A 20,808-nucleotide genomic window follows, 5' to 3' on the forward strand; every position below is an offset into this window, starting at 1 on the left:
GCGTTTCTCCATGTTTGTCAGGCTGGTCTCGAACTCCTGACCTCAGGTGATCCACCCGCCTCAGCCTCCTGAGTAGCTGGGATTACAGGCATGCGCCACCATGCCTGGCTAATTTTGTATTTTTAGTAGAGACGGCATTTCTCCATGTTTGTCAGGCTGGTCTCGAACTCCTGACCTCAGGTGATCCACCCTCCTCAGCCTCCCAAAATGCTGGGATTACAGGGGTGAGCCACCATGCCCAGCCCAGAATGCATTTTAAAAGTAACAACTAGAGGTAGAAAAAGTAGAAACTGGAGGTAGAAGGGTTAGGCACTGGAAGCAGTTATGCGGTAATTGATGTGTAGCTGCAGCTGATGCATCTCTTTGTTTTGTTTTGTTTTTCTCTCTCCAGCTATTTTTTATGAAAATACTGGGAAAGACAAAGATGTGGCATTTTAAAAACACTGGGTTTTTTTTGACAAATTGTTTTGGGATAGAGAATTAAACAATTTTTCCAAAAGTAACTACTAGAATAATAATTAAATTAAAGGAACTGTTGATTTTTTAAATATTGTTATCAAAATCTAGTATTAGAAAACTCTGAGGTTATCAAATCTCATATTTCTTACTATGCTCATAAATTTAAATATTTAAATTACTGGGTACTAGTCTTAAACTCCAAATGGGATGTGCAAAGCTATAGTTTGGCAAGAGACCTCCTGTTATGATATTTTCCCACTTTTGCTTGAGATTATTATCAATCTTTGCTTTAAGTGAGATTCATTTCCCAACCGGGTCCAGTCTTTATTTCAGCAGTTTCATCTTCCTTAAGACCCTCTGAACTGACCTATCTTTGGATATGTACAAGAATTACTAAACACCAAGAAAACCAATGGATAATCTGTGAAGATATCATGGGGCATGAATTTACAGAACTATGCATTTATCTGAAGAAAGACTTATAACCAGTAATGGTGTATTTTTAGTTTTTAGAGTTTTGTTTGCTTTGTTTTGTTTTAATAAATGACATATTCGGCAAAAGTTATAGAAAAGAAGAGCAAATACATTCTAAGAAATTATAATAGAGAAAGGGCCTTAGGGAAGACTGAAAATGGGAATCAGATTCATAATTCCATGATTTTTAAAGAAGCATTTACAGGTTGAGGTTGTCAATCCCTTTATATCCCATGTAACCCAAAGAATAAAAGAACAACATATGGATACAACTTAATATTGCTTTTAATACACATATTCTAATTGATTTTAATTAATTCTACTAATTTTTTTTCTAAACATTTATATATCTTTTTTTCATATTAAAACTGTTTAGGATATGTAAGCCAGGCAGTCTTTGATTCCTGTGTTTAAAAAATGAACTGATTTCTACATTACAATAATGGAAATTGTTGATTTGATTCTAATTCAAGGTTTACAGTGTCCTGAAGGAAGAGGACAATTTATGGTTTGGGAGGTAAAAGCATGCATACCAAATTAGTTTGATGGCAATTATAATTGTATTTCTTTAGGCACAATTACTGAAAAACACTTGTTAAGGACATTTGTCATCTAACAATTATAAATTTGGCAACAGTTACAACAAAACAACAAAAGCTCCAGAATGTTTAAAAGAAATACAGGAAGCAGAGGCATACTTTCAAGTGTCAAAAAGAAATATGGGATGGTTTGAGGAAAGCAAAAGTCTTCTTGTGATGAGGCTGACTAAAATGTCTCTCATAATGGGAAAAGTTTCACTCTCAGACTTGTTAATTTTATTTCATGTTCGAAGACATGCTTATTATAAAGAATATTTAATTTAAGGTTTAACAGTAATTAAGCAAGCAAATATGCAATATTTCAATTAAAGTTGAACTTGTTTTGTCTCTTAAACAAGCGAACTATCTAAAAAGTAGAGGCTGCCTTGTAACTGTTTCCTCTCTCACCAATTGCTACATCTGACTCTCAATCTCATAAACAAATCCATCAATATATAGAGTATAAAATTTGCATGTGAAATGGAGGTATTTTAGAAATGTTCTCCAGTTAATATGGCTTATAATAGCATCAAATGCATGCCTTTCACAGACGGCAAAACTTCTTGGCCAAACCCTGTATTGCTTTTATGAAAATATCAAATATATACATACCTTATTAAATTAGAAATGAGGCCTATACGTCTCAAAGCATAGAATTTAACAGTTGCTAATATTGTCATAATATTTTTCTTGACCTAAAAATAACAACTGTTGAAAATACACACACAAGAATTTTAGAATTTGAGAATATATCTTTTATTTATAGGATGAGAGTGTTAACTCTGAGAGAACATGGTATAATGAAACATATTAAAGACAGCATATTACTTCAATAAGTAACTGTGGTAGTAATGTTATTGTTAATTTGTATAATGTGTGTATATATTTTTCTGCATTTAAATTTTTCATTAATGTTTTTCCTATGAATATGATCAAATTATGACATCTATCATAAATAAATGTCATATTTTATTTATTTTAATTTTATATTCAAATGTTTTATTTTTCATCTTCTTTCCCCACCAAACACACTGATATGTAAATGTAATTGAGACACTTACAACTAATCTATGCAGTGTTGAATGCTGCTCCTGCAAAATACTCCATAAGCTAAAATTAAGTTACTTAGATATGTGGCAAAAAACCATGAATATGTGAGATTATATAGATTTGTTTTATATTAAAATAAATGCACAATATTTTAGCCAGCAATGCAAACTTATTATTTACATAAATCTTATATATTAATTTAGAGTATCATTAAAGTTTGTAAGTGTGCACATTTACACACATACCCATATACATATGCATATGTGTACATACTTATGTATAGTAACTCCTAAAACCTGTAAATGAAGGTTAGGTTTTAAAGGCTAAAAATGTGTACATGGCTGCTACAGGATTATACCTGTAGCATTAATATTGACAACAAGATGGTGTAAATTTGTCAGGCTTTTTCTTTTGATGTCTTAGGCAGTGAGACCACCTGGAAATAAAAATGAGAAATAAATTTAAAAAACACATTTCATAATTAAGATATCCTTTAACTAAGGTATGTCTGCCAACAGTAAGGGAATAACTGATACAAAAAAAGTATGATGGAGCAACTGGCATAAGGGAGTGTAGTATAATGGGAAAAAAAATGTCTGTCATATAGGTACCCCATACTTAAAGTCCTTCTTCTAGTCCTACAAGAATGTGCAAACTTCCTAGGTTACTATTTGTCAGGATCGAGTTACAAAAACAGAAACTATTCTTAGTCTTTCAAAAAAGGGACATTTATCACAAGTAGTTGATCATATAGCTGCATTAGGTATATATGATTTACTGCATTGACATTTCTTTTTAAGATCATTAAATGATATCATACAATTTAGCTGAATAGATATTAGGGAGTGAGAATTTTATTGTTGTTATTGTTTTCTCCTTAGAAATTTTAATAGTATGCTTTGGGAATTATAAGGCTTTTAAAGGGGCTTTTTGTTATTTCTTTAGTGGCCACATATGTTAGTAATAAACAGCCCCTACCCAGTGTATATAGACCTGCTTTACAATATATTGTCACATATATATAGTTGTATATGTGTATATAGTTGTATATGTATATATTGTCATATATGCATATAATCTAAGAGCTTTAATGAACATATTTTATAACATATGTATAATCTGAGAATTGAAAATACTCCATAGACTAACAAATCTAAAAATCACAATTTAAAAATGAAGAAACTGAAAATTTTTTTAAATATTTTAAATAATGTGTACTTTGATTTATATAGGTCATCTCTTTGTGAAGTATATATGCATGCTCACATAGAAACTCATACACACACACACATGCACATAGGCTTTCATAGAAGATAGGTATTTAAAGATGTAAAAATAGAACAAATTTTTTCCACTCTGAATGTGCCCAAATTACCAATGTACTTTTGCTTTGCAAGTGCATACAATCCATTTGAAATATGCATATATTTGTGTATGTGTATATATATGTGTATATATATACACATATACACACGTACACACATATTTTGAAATATATTTCAGAAGATGTATAAATATAATTTACATACAAATATAATCTATATATTTCAAAATATATATTTAGAATGATTTTCAAATAATCTACAGAAAATATTTTAATTGTAAATTTCAGTATGATAACATACAATGTCTGTATTATTAACAAATAAGTACACAACTAAATAAAAATGTTACACTTTTAATATAGCTATAATTTCCGCAAGAATTTGAACTAATGACATAATACCTATGACACATCTCACTAACAGATTGAACAATAAAAGAATTAAATTATTGTCAAAATAATGAGATTCAAGTAATTTAAATGTCAAAACTTTAAAAAATATTTACTTTAAAAATCAGATACTTTTTAAATTAAATTTTATTTTTTGAGCGACATAAGAATTGAACATATTTGGGAGATACATAATAATGTTTCAATACATATAATTTATAGTGGTCAGATCAGAGAAATTAGAGTATCCATGGTTTCAAATATTTATCATTTCTTTTTGTTGGGGACAAAATCTCCTTTTAGCTATTTGAAACTAAATGGAATATAATGTTCTTAACTATAGTCGTCCTACAGTGGTATAGAACACCAGAAATTATTCCTCCTACCAAGCTGTAACTTTGTATCCTTTAACAAATCTCTCTCTAGTCTCCCTTTGCTGCAGCTTTCCCAGCCTGTAGTATCCTCTGTTTTATTTTTTACTTCTATGATATCAATTTTTTTAGCTTCCACATATAAGTAATAACATGCAATGTTTAACTTTCTGTTCCTGGCTTGTTTCACTTAACATATGCCCTCCAATTCCATCCATGTTGTCCTGAATGACAGGAATTCAGTTTTTATGGCTGCATAGTATTCTATTGTGTATATATACCACATTTTCTTTATCCATTCATCTGTTGTTGGACACCTAGGTTGCTCCTATATCTTGGCTATTGTGAATAGTGCTGCAGTAAACATAGGGTTCAAATGTCTCTTTAATATACAGATTTCCTTTTTCCAGTAATGGTATTGCTGGATCATATGATAGTTCTATTTGTAATTTTTGAAGAAAGTCCATGTTGTTCTCCACATGGCTGCTCTAGTTTACATTCCCACCAGCAGTGTCTAAGAGTTCTTTTTTTTTTCCCGCATCTTCACCAATATGTTATTTTTATTTTATTTTGAGACAGTCTCACTCTGTCACCCAGGCTGGAGTGCCTTGGTTTAATCATGGCTCTCTGTAGCCTTGAACGCCTGAGCTGGAGCAACCTCGAGTAGCTGGGACTACCTACTGGCATGTGCCACCACGCCCAGCTAATTTTTACTTTTTAAAATTTTTTTGTAGAGACAGAGTCTCAATATGCTTTTTAGAGACAGAGTCTCAATATGTTGCCCAGATCTCAAACTTCTGAACTCAAGCAATTCCCCTGCCTTGGCCTGTCAAAGTGTTAGGATTACAGATATGAACCACCACGGCTGTCATATTTTTTGTCTTTTTGAAAATAGTCACCTTAATTAGGATGAGATGATATCTCATTGTGGTTTTGATTTGCATTTCTGTATGAATAGTTAATGTTGAGCATTTTAAAAATATACTTATTGACCATGTATATGTCTTCCTTTGGGAAATGTCTGTTCAGATCGCTTTTTCATTTGTTAATCAGATTTTTTTTTTTGCTGTGGTATTTTGTCTTATGCAAATAGTATTGTGAAGTATTAATGAAGTAAGACAATTTTATTCAAGGACCAATCCCATGCAAATACATTCAGAGCTGTTCTTAGTTAATTGCATTTATAATTTATACTTTTTATTACCATGTGCATTTCTCTAAATTTAGTGAAATTTTACTATTTTATATTTTTACTCAGTGTATATACTGTTGCTCATGAATTGTTGGAGTATAATAGTTAACTATCCTTAACTAAGTCTTATTTATTGAATTTATATGTTGCTGTTTTCTATAGGAGATAAGATTCTTTTTTTACAATATGAATGGAATCATTGCTGATTTTCTATGAATATATGAATTGAATTTTCTCAGATAAATCTTATGTTTCTTTTGTGCCCACAAAGACATCTGGATACTCATCAGAAGTGTAAAAATTCCAACTAGAAGAAAAAAGAAATAATTATTATTTCTTTCTTATTTCTATGAAATGTTATATTAGGAAAAGGATCCCTAGCATGTTTAGCTTTTAAGATGTTTCTCAAATGTTGCATAATTTCTTATCAATTTTCATTATTCATACCCATTCCCAAGCAATAGCCAATCAATATCGCATGAATGAGTAAACACAGAAAATACATTAAAAATTAAAAATGAATCTACATATTTTATATACCACTGCCACAAAATATTCCCAAATAAGGATTTATTTTTGTACTTAAAAATTTTCAATAATAGTTGCCTGTATGCATATAATATTCCTCTACATGCACATAATATAATAAACCACATTAATTGTGATTCAAAACTTTTGTACAATATAACAAAATGGATAAAATGGACATTACATATGTCCCTTCTACTATATGGAAATCATGCAATTCAACTTCTTAGTGTGTGTTAAAATGCTCAGTATTCAAGATGAACTCTCATACAACCCAACTCTTCCTTTGAAGACAAAACACATACACATGCCTGTGCACATGCACAAGAAGTTTCAAGCGAAATGCGTTGTTATCAAAACTTCTTCTAAACAAAACTTCATTGCTTAATAAATACATTTGGATTACAATCCCTGGCTTGGATTAAGCAACAATTATACAGAGACAAAGAGCAAAAGTACTTCAATATATTTTAATACTGCTAAAAATCAAACTCAGTATGAAACTATGAAATCCTTTTACAATCATGCTATACTTTAGTACTATAATAACTTTTTCTCAGAAACCATTTATCTTAAAGATGCATTTATTTTGATTAATTATCAGTATATCTAGGTCTTACCTGGCAGTGTTTGTGTCATGACTGTGAAACTAATCCATGATCCAATCTGTTATATTAAAACTTAAATTAGCACATACATAAATGGAATCTAGTAATTTGTTCATTTGTGGCTTTAACAGGTAATTTTAAGGCTTAAAATATTAGAAAACTTATAGATAGGAATACATTTTCAAGAAATAATAATTTAATTTTTACATATAAAGTCATAAGCAATCTCATTAAATGGGATCATATTTATAAGAAAATGAAAGACATTGTTTAATATTTGAAAAAATTGTGATTGAAATGTTCTATTTTGTTATACCATGATCTGTGGATAAGACCTCTATATTTTTCCTGTATATATTAATTTATAATACATGTAAATACATAAGCACATGCATTTAGTATATCATGAATAGGATTCAAGCATTTACATACATAAATAACATACCTCATAGGTGTAGTTAGGACATGAAACCAGGAAAAACATCCATGTGAAGGGGTTATAATTTGGACTTGGGAAACAGGCATTGTTTCCTTTTTCAAAGGAAAGTAAAATGTCAATGATGCTACACATTGCAAATCTGATCATATGCTTATTATATAATACTAAGTTCCCCAAAATAACTGTGTACCACATGAAATGTCATCACGTATTTATAGTAACCTATTTTGCAAATTACTCAGAAGAGACCCAGCTTTAAATGTTATAACCTTTTGACTCAAATAAAATAGCTGTCATTTTCATACCATGTCTACAGCTATGTTGCTGTAACACTGCAGAGTACATAAGGATAATCAATTCTTTAAGATCTTAAATATATATAAATTATTTTTACATTATAATGATTGAAATAGTACTACATGCTGAAATTATAAAGTGTGTTTTAACATTTGCCCACCTCTTCACATTCCCCTTTACTATCAAAGAAGATACATTTGTTTGAGATTATTAAATACCTCAAAAATCCCTGTATTAAATTGGTGAAAGTCATAAGGAATTTTATAAAGATGTCATTTATACCAGAAAAGTATGCACACCTCTAATAAAAGGATTACACTGAATATCAGTATAGTTAATATTCTGAGATACCACGTTTCTGTTCAGCAGTCAGGATTGATAGTTACATCTCTCATTATACTTCACATATTGTCACTTTATTTTTGTTAATTATTTTCCCCTTTCACTTGTTTTTAAGAAACATTTTAGATAACAAATTTTTAATGATTTCAGGTTGAACTTGGAGCTGTGACATTTGTAAAAGTAAATATGAATTATAAAATTACTGTTTTATTCTCCATACCAAGATTTAATCAGATAACAAATCAGCTAAACTCTTTTACTTATAACTCTGAAGTCATAATAAAATGTCAGTGTGTTGTTTTCAAAATTGTAACAATTGCTGAAATATCAAAGTTAAAAATTATGCTAAGTATTGTGCAGATTTTACAACTGTTCATAAAAATAAATATGTAGGCCTTTTGTTATTACTGATTTTTTACAGCATTTTTGTAGACACCTTTGTGTAATGTCCTATATTAATAAAAAAAAGATAATTGAGGAATCTACCCAAGTTATAGTTACTGAATTTCAGAGGCAGAAGTTTCAGGAAATAGTCTGCTTTAGAGCCTGTAGTTTATGAGTGTTCAGCCCCTAGAGGTGTGGAATGATCAAGGGTCTACAAATCTACATTTTTTCCAGACCTAGTTTGTCGATTAAATAATGGATATGCCTTATGACACAGAAAAATATATGTATATAGATAATATTGTTTCAAGTATACACAGTTGCTGTTAACTGTAATATTAAATAAGTTTAGGAGTTACTAATTTAATACTTACATTCTTCATAAATGTTCTCTCAACCTATAGTTATTATAATAGAGCTTCTATTAAATTAAAGTCAGGAGGTTTTTTACATTAAAATGCTGCCCCACCAGATTCTTCTTTAGGCATATAAGGTTTATTCTATTTCTTCAGGGAGTGCTACTGGCAGAGAAACTTCAACTTTCAGTACTCCCTATAGTTGGAAGAAACCTCACCCAAGGTCACACTCACTGATTTAGCTTTACTACGGTATTTGATCAATATTGAAAATTGATTAACTCAATTCAGAAGAACATGGATTGTTCATCCCAGTTTTAGAATGTCCCATGCAATCATTGGAGACTTGTTGAGACTATATCGCTCTCAATTTCCTACCTAAATATGATTTATTTCTTCTATCCAGAAAACTACTCCTTAACAATCCTCCTGAGTATTAATCTCCATCCTGGCATTTGCAATCCAGAAAACCCAGCTTACATAGTTGGCACCAGGAATGGCCCAAAAAGCAGATGTTGGAATGGCATTTTAGAGTTGAATGACTTACCAAAAGGCCTGCAATGAGTACTCCATAGCTGATGGTAGGTTCAGACAGACAGCTAATGGTACAGGGTAGCAATCCAAGTGTAAAAATCTTTTACTACTGGTATATTGTTATGTTATAGTGGTTGAAAACAATATTCTATCTGGTCTAATATTACAAGTGGGACTGAATGGCTCAACAAACACATCTAAAACAAACTGCTAATTGGCAATTAAAAGCCAGTTGTGAAAGTTAGAGGTCCACCTAGATAGTATGCAAAGAGGCTCGAAGAGGGCAGAAAAAGCTAAGGAACAGGTCCAGGTCTTAACTGCAAAAGTAGTCAAACTCTAAAGAATGTACAACTCCAATCCAATGCAGATCTGTTAAGTCAAGTTTGTTTACCACAAAATCTTGGAATATCTAGGTTTTCATAAATTCCTTGAGCCTGCAGAGGTGGCCCACTCTTCCCTATGAAAGTTGAGCACATCCTTCCTTAAAAGCAACACAGAAGGCACTACACTGCAAGAATACCCCCCTTGAAGATCTCCCCTATCTTTTCTTCTAGCCACTACAACTAGGGTTATATCACAATATAAACTACCTGAGGCTGTTCTGGGGCTGACAGAGAACAAAAAAGATAATGCCCCAAAGGAGCTGCAGAACCTACCCAGCATGAACCAACAAATTATAGGAGAATACACATGGGGTTGGAATCTGAGGGTGTTTGAAAAGAGGGGTAAAGTATAAAATTGAATAAAGATTTGTTTATGTTTTTGGAGCACTGTCCTGGAATATAGGAGTAAATATCCCTCTAAGATTGTACAAACACACTAATGATATGCACCTGGAAGCATGAACAAAGCAATGGCCCACAATAAGCAAAGAAGAAATGTTAGAATTTCCATGGCAGGCTGGGAAAGAAGGTGCTAAGTGCCTTAGAGAAATAGGAATCCTAGAGCAGATAGTCTACGCAAGGTTGAAAAGAGAGTGCTTCTTTCTATGCAAGGAATTTTTACCCTCGTTTCGTGTTCTCAGGTTTCTTCTCATGTTCCATGGGAGAACCAATAGGATGCACCACTTTTCAAAAATACAGGGAATATGGTAGTGAAAGGAACACCATCATCACTAAGATTCGCATTGGCTCTTTGCTGTATCAGGCTTACTGTAAGTGAAATCATCTTAGAACTGAGATGACTAGTAGTGAACGGGATTAAAGGACCCTTCCTCACACCACTCCCTAGAAAATCAAGGCAGTTCCAATTACAGTACTTAATTGTTCATGAGCCAAAATGAATGGCCTGTTCATAGGAGGCTTGACCCACAGAAAGTTATGTTTGGCTAGTAGAACACAATGTCTCTAGAAGCTAGATAGTTGGATACCCAACAATGCTATTGCTAAATTTAGACAAACAAAATAAATTATAGATGAATAGTTAAGAGACTTGAGACAGCTGGTGCAATGTCAGATCTACTATTCCTTTCCCAGTATTGGAACGTGAATCAGTTCTAAGACTCTAAACTCACTGAGGGAAGAATAGTCTGGGAGGAAAGATATTGTAACACCAAAACAAATGCACATGATAATGATTTCAGTGATCTTTACTAAAAGGACTTCATTGATTCAGGGAACCATATACTAGAAAAAGTGGCATTTTCACATTTTAAGGACTGTTAGACAAAGTGGGTTCACAAAGGTAATTTATCCAGATCATAAATAAATAATAATTGGAATATATATACTTTGTAGTTTGCACAATATGTACATTTGAAGCTTTCTTTCAACTGTCATACCCTCTGAGAAAATGGTCTTCACTAAAGGGAACTGCCTTACAAGGTCTTTTTCTTCCCCAGGTAGACTCATATCCAACTTATCTGTCTCCAGTCATTCCAACTCTTGACACCTCTACAGGGTTATCCTAGCTTCAGATACCCAATAGAGTTGACTGAGTCCATTCTTGTGACTACATCACAGCTCAACTTCCCCTTTGGCATGGTTCTCATTCCTTGCCTCTTTTCCATAATTCCTAACAAACTTCTTTTATACAAATTTCTGCCACCTGAGAACATGACTCATGACATTTTGTACAATCAATATTAAATGGTTCCCTTCTAGACATAACCATGCCTAAAGCACATCTAATAGATATTACAACAAACTCCAATTAATATGTTAGTGAGGGAATAAAAATTCAAGACTAGGAGACACCAGTTTAGAGCTGACACAGGAACTGATAAAGATTTTATGTAAAGAAAAATAATGCATTGAGTATGTAGCTATTAAAAATTCATAATCAAAAGATGAGAGTTCACTTTGAGAAAAGATCTGGGACTTTATAGATCAGAACCCTGAATAGGGAGAAATTGAATACAATTATCTGAAATTAGTTGAGGCCAGAGGTTGTCATCTTGGAAGACATTGTTTCCAAGAAAGAAAATGATGCCCAGAGAAGTTTGCTCAGAGAGGGAAGGCATCATGTGGAAGCTTAAAAGGGAAGGGAAAGAAGGAAGCATGTTCTGGGATTCAAGGAATTTGGAAAACAAGGATGTTAGAGGATGAGAAGACACGATGAAAAACCTCCTCTGTTTCCAGAACACACTTTGTTTTTTAGAGATTTCAGTAACCTCATCTGTAAAAAACTATGTTATTTTTCTTCAAAGTCAATTCACACATTTAATAATAAATGTAAATCAATCAGCATTTACATGATGCTTCTGTGTGAATAAACTAGAAAGTGTTTTCATTTGCAGACAAAAACTAACCCCCCACAAGGAAAACAAAACAAAATTTACAGAACACACACACACACAATTACCAAAGAATGTATCCTTAAGAAATCCCAAAACTGAAAATAGATATGGAAAAAAAACAAGAAGATATAATACAAAATAAGAGTTGATTGTACTCAAGAAATTGTGGACAAGGAAGAAACTTTCCCAGTAATATGAAATATATTTTCATTTGCTTAAGAATGTAATATTCAACAGAACAGAGGATATTAAGCAGATAAAAAGAATAGCCAAAAAAGGGACAAAGATAGTCAAAGAGAAAGTGATAGAGAAGCTAGAGACAGAAGAAGGAACATAGGTACAGTGTAACCCCCCTATACTCCACAATGTAATAAAACTAATTTTAAAATTGTAATTTGAGGAAATTTTTTAGAACGTAAAAAAAAAAAACATGGATTAACCTACTAGAAGAGTACCTAGTGATCTGGGGAAATTGGTTGGGAATCATCAACCCTTAGACACTCCCTCAAAATTCATAGACTTTTATAATAAAAAAGTCACCTGCACATCGAAGCAAAAAAACCATCATTTGACAAAGGAGAGAGAATTAGGTTGGCATCTGATTCCTCAAGAGCAATATACAAAGCAAGATAAAGAGTGAACATTAAAAGAGGGGGGCCTTCTTACATGAACAATTTCAAAATTACTGGATGACTTAAAATTTTCATTTTCAAATGATGACACTATATTTCGAATAAATGAAGAAGCTTGAGTTGATTACATTGCTAGTCACCTAGATAAGACTAAAATTTGTGATATTTCTAACTTTGGCAATGCTAGCATTTTATTAGATTATATTGTGTTTCGCTTCTCTACTAAAAAAATTTAGACCCTCAGATATTTTTCACTTGTGATTCACATGCATCCAAAGAAAATTCAATGTATCTGTGAATTTGGATCAGATAAAAATGGCATTCAATCTCTTAATGAAATATAGGCTTCACTCCACTGCAAATGAGGACCACAAACTACAACAGCATTGGCCTTACATGTAATTTTTTTTCACCAAGATAAAGCACAGATATTTTTAACTCACAGTACACTTCTTTTTAAATCTGCATATACATAATTTATCACCAATACTCAAAAAGTTGAGTACTCATCACAATATTATGTAATGTGTAATAACAAACATATGCTTATATTATAGCTTTTTCATATATTCACCATTGTTCTAATAAAATAATTTTCCCTTGTAATTATATGTATTTTATTTTACAGAACAACTATTCTGGAAAATGTTTTATATGTTTCACTAGCCTGCCAGAAGCGTGGAAGGCAAGGAAATGTTAAGAAATTCAAGTTGATGTTGAATGTTTATCATTTCTATTTGAATTTACAATAAAATTATATATTATATAGGGTTAGCAGTTGGGAATCCCTACATGTAATTGAGCCTAAATGAGATGACTGATTTACCAAAAATATCTTTAAATAATGGAGACTCTGTAAACTTTTTCAAATATACAGGTGAGTATAGAAGTAACTGAGTTTTTGCATTGTTGAAATTTGCTGTTTTATAATGGAATACATTATTAAATAAATGTGGTTATGTTATACAACATTTTAATGGGCATTTCTCACTTTATGTTTTTTGCTAATGACTTATTACTTGCTGGTATTTTATGTTTATTTTAGTCTATGGAAATGATGTTAGACAAAAAGCAAATTGGAGCAATTTTCTTAATTGAGTTCAAAATGGGCCATGGGCCAGGCACGGTGGCTCATGTCTGTAATCCCAGCACTTTGGGAGGCCGAGGCAGGCAGATCACCTGAGGTCAGGAGTTTGAGACCAGCCTGGCCAACATGGCGAAACCCTGTCTCTACTAAAAATACAAAATTAGCTGGGCATGGTGGTGTGCACCTGTAATCCCAGCTACTCAGGAGGCTGAGGCAGGAGAATCGCTTGAAACCGCTTAAAGGCAGAAGTTGCAGTGAGCCAAGATCACACCACTGCACTCCAGCCTGGGCTACAAGAGCGAGACTCCATCTTAAAAAAAAAAAAAAGAAAAGAAATACAAAATGGGTCATGAAGCAGTGGAGACAACTCACAACATCAACAAGACATTTGGCCCAAGAACCGCTAATGAACACACAATGCAGTGGTGGTTTAAGAAGTTTTGTGAGAGCCTTGAAGATGAGGAGCATAGTGACCGGCTATCAGAAGTTGACATTGACAAATTGAGATGAATCATCAAAGCTGATCCTCTTAACAACTACAGGAGAAGTTGCTGAAGAACTCAACATCGACCGTTCTACAGTCCTCAGGCATTTGAAGCAAATTGGAGAGGTGAAAAAGCTCGATAAGTCAGTTCCTCATAAGCTGATCGAAAATATATATATATAAAAGTCATTTTGAAGTGTTGTCTTTTCTTATTCTATGTAAGAACAATGAACCATTTCTTGCTCGGAATTTAACGTGCAACAAAAAGTGGATTTTATATAACTGGTGATGACCAGCTCAGTGGTTGGACTGAGAAGAAGCTCCAAAGCACTTCCCAAAGCCAAACTTGCCCTCCCAAAAAAAGGTCATGGTCACTGTTTGGTGGTCTGCTGCCAGTCTGATCCACCACAGCTTTCTGAATCCTAGCAAAACCAGTATATTTGAGAAATATGTTCAGCAAACCAATGAGATGCATTGAAAACTGCAATGTCTGCAGCCAACATTGGTCAACAGAAAGGACCCAATTCTTCTCCATGACAGTGTCTGACTGCCCATCACACAACCAATTCTTTAAAAGTTGAATGAATTGGATTACAAAGTTTTGCCTCATCCACCATATTCGCCTGACCTCTCACTAACTGACTACCACTTCTTCAAGCATCTGGACAACGTTTTGCAGGGAAGATGCTTCCACGATCAGCAGGGGGTAGAAAATGCTTTTCAAGAGTTTGTTGAATTCTGAAGCATGGATTTTTATACTACAAGAATAAACTACTTTTCATTGGCAAAAATGTGTTGATTATAATGGTTCCTATTTTGATTAATAAAGATGTGTATGAGACTAGCTATAATGATTTAAAATTCATAGTTCAAAACCACAGTTACTTTTGCACCAACCTAAATATACTACTAACTTTGAAATGTTCTCCCAGGCATTGATATTTCAGTGCCATTGTATTTTTCAATGAAAGATTACCATCATTACAAAAAGAAAAACTAAAGGTAATTTGAAATAGTAGGACTTTATCAAATATTGTACAAGTGGGATCAATATTGAGAGTTTAGTAATTTGGATATTCATCAAGTGATTTTGTACTGCTTTTGTTCTTATTCATTAGTTCATTTATTTACATATTTAAGTGATATTGTTGTTTAGTGTGTGTGGGGAGGGTGATAGCGTGCATGCACACTTCATTTTAGAGAAATCATTACTAGAGAATAAGACTTGGTTCAAATATTTGGAAAAACTAGACATAAAAGGGAAAAAATGTGGCACATGTATTTCCAACTATTGATATTTTGATTTTTAAAGATTTTTTGAAGTAAGATTATAAAAATAATTGTTAACATAATTCACTCTAAAGAAAAGAAAAAGAAAAAAGAACTAACCTGTGTGATTGGGATGAGACAACATTACATTGATGAAATGATTCCCAGCTTCACAAATCTGCAAAACATTTTAAACACTTTCAGTGTGATACACCTCTGCCTATTTTTTAAAAAAACATATTCTAGAGTTATATAAAATCTGTGTTGTACATTAATCCCAAAGATTCAAAAGATATATATTTTATTCTAATCATAAAGAGAAATTTTTTTTAATTATAACAATGAAAGAAGTTCTTGCTGGCATATATTGAATAAAAAGTCACAACAAGTTGGAAATTCTGAAGATATTTTTCACGCTGTTTGATAATCAAGTTTAAACTGTCTTGTTAATCGGCTTTGTACTTGTTACTATGGGGAGACTTCCAGATCATACAGAGACAACTCTTGCTGAAGACATATTTGGCATAGCTTCGTATTAATCTCAGTTCATTAACAGTAAAAATATTTCTAGTGAAATGGTGATTGTTTGATTTCCAGCTAGTTTCAGCTCAGTTTGGAAAACCTACTGTGAGCAGTGCTGCCACACAAAGAAACCTGCTGCTTCTCTGTCATCATGACCTCTTGATCATATGCACTCTACTAGTTGTCCCTGTTAATAGGCCATTATGTCCCTCCAAGATCAAAGGCTTACCACCATCGCCTGAGACTAATAATGTTCCCAGTTTGCAACATGTGTCCTGTGAGGGTAAGACCTTTCCTTTGTCTGTCATATATACCTCATCTGATTTAACATAAGCTATGTATTTGACATATAAATACTATGTTACTGATAACAGAACATGTTATTCAAAATTGTTATTGTTTGAAGTCATTCAACTTGTAATATATCCCAAAAGTTGAGCACCCATTAAACTCAGTGCCTTTAATGTTATTAATCTCATAAAATATATCGGATTTTGTTCTTTTCAACCATTTCTGTATGCATTTTTCATATATAATAATAGTTCTATGGACTTTAATTTCTGGATGTTTCTCACAATAAATAACTGGTATATATTTCAACACTTTCTAAATTTTAGGAAAAAATAGATTGAAAGAGAAAATTTAAATCCATTTTCATCATCTAGAACTGTTAGGTAAAAATGCTATTTAAAATAATCATCTTCAATAAATTAATTCACCCAGGACATAATGTAAACAAATACACCAAATATATTAAATCTGTATTTAAAGATCCAGAAAACAATACAAATACAAATTTTGTACCAACATAACTACACAAAATAATTATCGAAAAGGCTTTTGGTTTCTTAAGTTATCATTAGAAAGACAAAGTGGAATTTTGAATTTTCAGGTAATACTTTTTAAGTTGAAATTTTTACATGCAAATGTGGATAAGTGTGTGGGCTTTTGTGGCATGAACCTGCATTCACATGCCACATATTTAATTTACTATGTATGAGAGATTTAGTGAATTTCACATTTGGAATTTCATTTCTTCACCTAAATGCAAATATTAACTTCTGTCTCTAGAGAATTCATGACAATTGAGTAAAGTCAAGTACCCTACACAGCCTATTTGCTCAATAAAATTATTGTGATAATTTTAGTTATCAATTTAATCAATAAAAACTTCCACAGATTATCCTACAGTAATCTCACTTCTCTAGACTTCATTCTAACAAATCGTTAGCACTACAAAACCCATAATTACTAAACTAATGGTTTGTTACATTTCTGTTTAGTCTTCGTATCTTTTGTACATCTTTCAACTTAGACAGCTTGTCATATTCGTTTTCCATCACTCACAGTGCCAAACACAAAAATAGAAAATATTATAAAATATTTATTAAAAAGCAAGTTGTTACCAAAATTTGTGAAAAAATAAGTTTTAGAAATTATAATTCTTCTGATGAAACGTATTTGTTTTGAGATTATTAATATTTTCATACTCATTCAAACATCAAAATATTTTCTTCTTCCTGCTTATTTATCACAACAAAACTAAATATTGGAACGTCAATTGTTTAACCAAATAATGAGCCATGAAAAAAATAGCATATAGGTTTAGTTAGAGCCTGGATAGATTTATAATAACACCAAATTTTTCATTAGGTGAAACTGTCCCTAGAAGAAAATATAATTACATACTAAAACAAAAAATATGAGAGAGAAAGGTAGAAAAAAAGTGGTAAAGAAGCCAGCTTTTCCATTTTGCTATCTACTGATGAAATGCTTACATGGTAAGAGTGGGGAGAAAAAACAACTATATCTCTATGCTTAGAGATTCTTAAATATTAATTTGGCAACTTCTTAAGGATTTTAAAGAGCAATAATAACTAGTAATTTCCATTTTAAGCACTGGCTTTTACACCTTCAGGTGAATCCAATACAGTTTGCGATGCTAACTGAATTAGATAAAACTGGTGATATAATTTCCTTTTAGGTAAAGGCTGAGTAAGATCAAGAAGCTCAGTCAGTGCTGTAAAACTCAATGCATTGTTCTATTACTGATTATAATTGCAGAGCCAATTAAATGTGAAACACCGGAATATTTCTCAGCATGACATATATTTCTCCTGGATTGATGTTTATCTAAATATGTCTTCATTTGGCATACAGTAAGTTTAAAAAGAAATTTAATAAACAAAGTTTGGGGCAGATGCTATGAAGAAGTTTGATTTTACATTATTAAAAGTTAAAATTATCTTACATAATAAAACATGAGATGCTACGTATTACCTATGTGTGTCCCTTATGTGACACAGATGTTCAAGATATTCTAGACAATAAACACATAGTAACGTAATAAAAATACTAAGAAAACATTGCCCAGATAAATTTAGAAAGAAATAGTACTTGAACACTACATGTAAGAAGCAGCATCATTTTCCTACATTATTATAGTATAACAAATTAAGAATATTAAATGACTTAATCATTCACAATTAAAAATTTTTAATAATTGTACTTTTAGTCAAAAAGTTTAACCTATCAAATAAAAATGTTTACATTTTCTAAACACACTCACAGAACTATAAGCAACCCAGGGACATTGCCAGAACTGCTTCTGTTGTCAAGAACAAGATGGCCTAGATTTATTTCATAAAAAGTAACCAGGTGCTTTTTGCTCTACAATGTGATTATATTTAACACTAATAAGGTGTACACTAAAATAGTTAAGATGGTAAATAATATGTAATGTTCTTTTTCCCCATAATTAGTAAAAAATCCACTAGGTGCTAGTGTTTTAAGTAATAATGAACTTTAGGATGATGTTTGATAAATAAAAAAAATTTAAATGAACCTTACATTTTTATGCGCAGGCGTGGCTTAAAGCAAATTTAAAAATATTTATTTGTACTTATATCATATAATCTTTATTGAGTAATTTGAATACTTCTTGCTTCAAACTAGTATTCATTTGAATAATAGCAGAATGTTAACGAACGAATAATCCATTCTATTATCTAGAGTTATCGTCATAAGGATAAATACAAAATAAATTGTCAACTAATACGATATTGAAGAATCAGTGTCTACACACAAAAATAATCTTTTGCTTAAATAAATACTTTGGTCAAGAAAGTAAATAAAAACACTTACTTTTTCAGGACCCTCTATACTCTCATTTCTCTGACCTATTAATTTTATTTTTAATCAGTACTTCCAAATATTTAACAATGTTCAGTGTAGGGCAGTATCAAATTAATAACCTACAAAGGACTTTTGTTAATGTATATTATTGTAAGTGATGTATTATGCAGCATACCGTGCTCTACAATTTTTTTAAAAAAATACACCCTGTTAAATCTCACTCTCAGGTTGAAAGACACAATTGAATTATAATATATGGGATTTCAGCAATAAAGTTGCTCATCTTTTACTGTTAAGCATTGTGTCTTGGTCAGTAACCCGCTGTCATTGTGGAATGATACCAATTACCAATGACTAAAGCAAGGGGTCGAGGGAGGACAGCTTGCAATGATCCACTTTTACAATATTTAAATATTGTTAATTTTTTACAGGCCTCATCAAGTTGATCATTCTCTTCCTTAAAGAAATGAAAATGATGTATCAATAGAACAAAACTCACACGTCCTAATATAGAATTGGTAGCCATCAATTAGTCAGGCTCTGTCATTTTGTGTTAGTAAAATCCTTCTGGTTTCCACAATAAAAATAATTAATCCTTATACTGTGATCTCATAATATTTTCATAAGAATGAAAATGATGTTTTATCTTTTAATGTAACTGTTCTCACTTTTATATGCATTGATATTGTTAATATCATTATTAATTTTTGGCAGGTGCTACATATATATATATAAAATATATATATATATATTTTTTGGAGACGGAATCTTGCTCTGATACTCAGGCTGGAGTGCAGTGGCATGATCTTGGCTCACTACAACCTCTGCCTCCCGGGCTCAAGCAATTTTCCTGCCTCAGCCTCCCGAGTAACTGGGATTACAGGTGCATGCCACCACGCCCAGCTAATTTTTGTATTTTTAGTAGAGACGGGGTTTCACCATGTTGGCCAGACTGTTCTCAAACTCCTGACCTCAAGTGAACCACCTGCCTCAGCCTCGCAAAGAGCTGGGATTACAGGTGTGAGCCACAGCGCCCAGCCGGCAGGTGCAATATCTTATAATTTTATCATTGGAGCAATAAGTAATAGTCATTTTATTAATTTAATTGAAATGTAGACATTGCTAAAATGTTCCTAACACTAACGCTTTTCATCTTTTTCCTTTGCCAAACATTTATTCACTGAAAGAAAATAGGTTATGATGCGTCTTTGGCAAAGCATACTTGTATTTTCCTGTTATAGCTAGACATCAAAATATGCCGTAATAGGTACCGACGAAGAAACATGTTGTAATAATATACTCATGGTTTGCTTACAAAGGTGTTTGTTTCTCTAATAAACACTTGCTTTCACGGACAAAAAAAAAGTGTCTGATGAATCTTCAAGAAAGCATGCTTACATATCTTCTAAAACTGGAATTGTAAATCTGTGTAGTATGAACCAATGTACAAAGAACCGTGGTAATAACATATGCTCAGTTTGTTTAGTTTCAGTTATTATTATTTTATCTATAGCAACAATAATAGTAATAATAATAATTATATCTGTTTTATTTATTTTACCTGAATCAATATTTCAAAAATAAGGACAATTGTAGCTAAATATATTATTACAAAG

At 32.0% G+C, this 20,808-nt stretch overlaps 1 protein-coding gene across 8 annotated transcripts in view; it reads right to left on the reverse strand.

Moving 5' to 3' along the window:
- Positions 2,244 to 20,808, reverse strand: part of TECRL (trans-2,3-enoyl-CoA reductase like) — a 133,163-nt gene continuing 114,598 nt past the window's right edge. For 2 of the 8 annotated variants that reach the window (XM_024453961.2, NM_001363796.1), the window contains 4 exons: positions 15,656 to 15,713; positions 7,420 to 7,505; positions 6,987 to 7,032; positions 2,244 to 2,997 (listed from right to left, as the gene is read on the reverse strand). In XM_024453961.2, coding sequence (XP_024309729.1) covers positions 2,981 to 2,997; positions 6,987 to 7,032; positions 7,420 to 7,505; positions 15,656 to 15,713 — 207 coding nt within the window. In that variant the 3' untranslated portion in view covers positions 2,244 to 2,980. Of the gene's footprint in view, positions 2,998 to 3,647; positions 6,146 to 6,986; positions 7,033 to 7,419; positions 7,506 to 14,069; positions 14,426 to 15,655; positions 15,714 to 20,808 lie in introns of those variants that run through there. The other 6 variants (XM_005265662.6, NM_001010874.5, XM_024453962.2 and 3 more) reach the window with 4 other exon arrangements.

Source organism: Homo sapiens, chromosome 4 (assembly GCF_000001405.40).
Source record: "Homo sapiens chromosome 4, GRCh38.p14 Primary Assembly".
Lineage (NCBI taxonomy): Eukaryota > Metazoa > Chordata > Mammalia > Primates > Hominidae > Homo > Homo sapiens.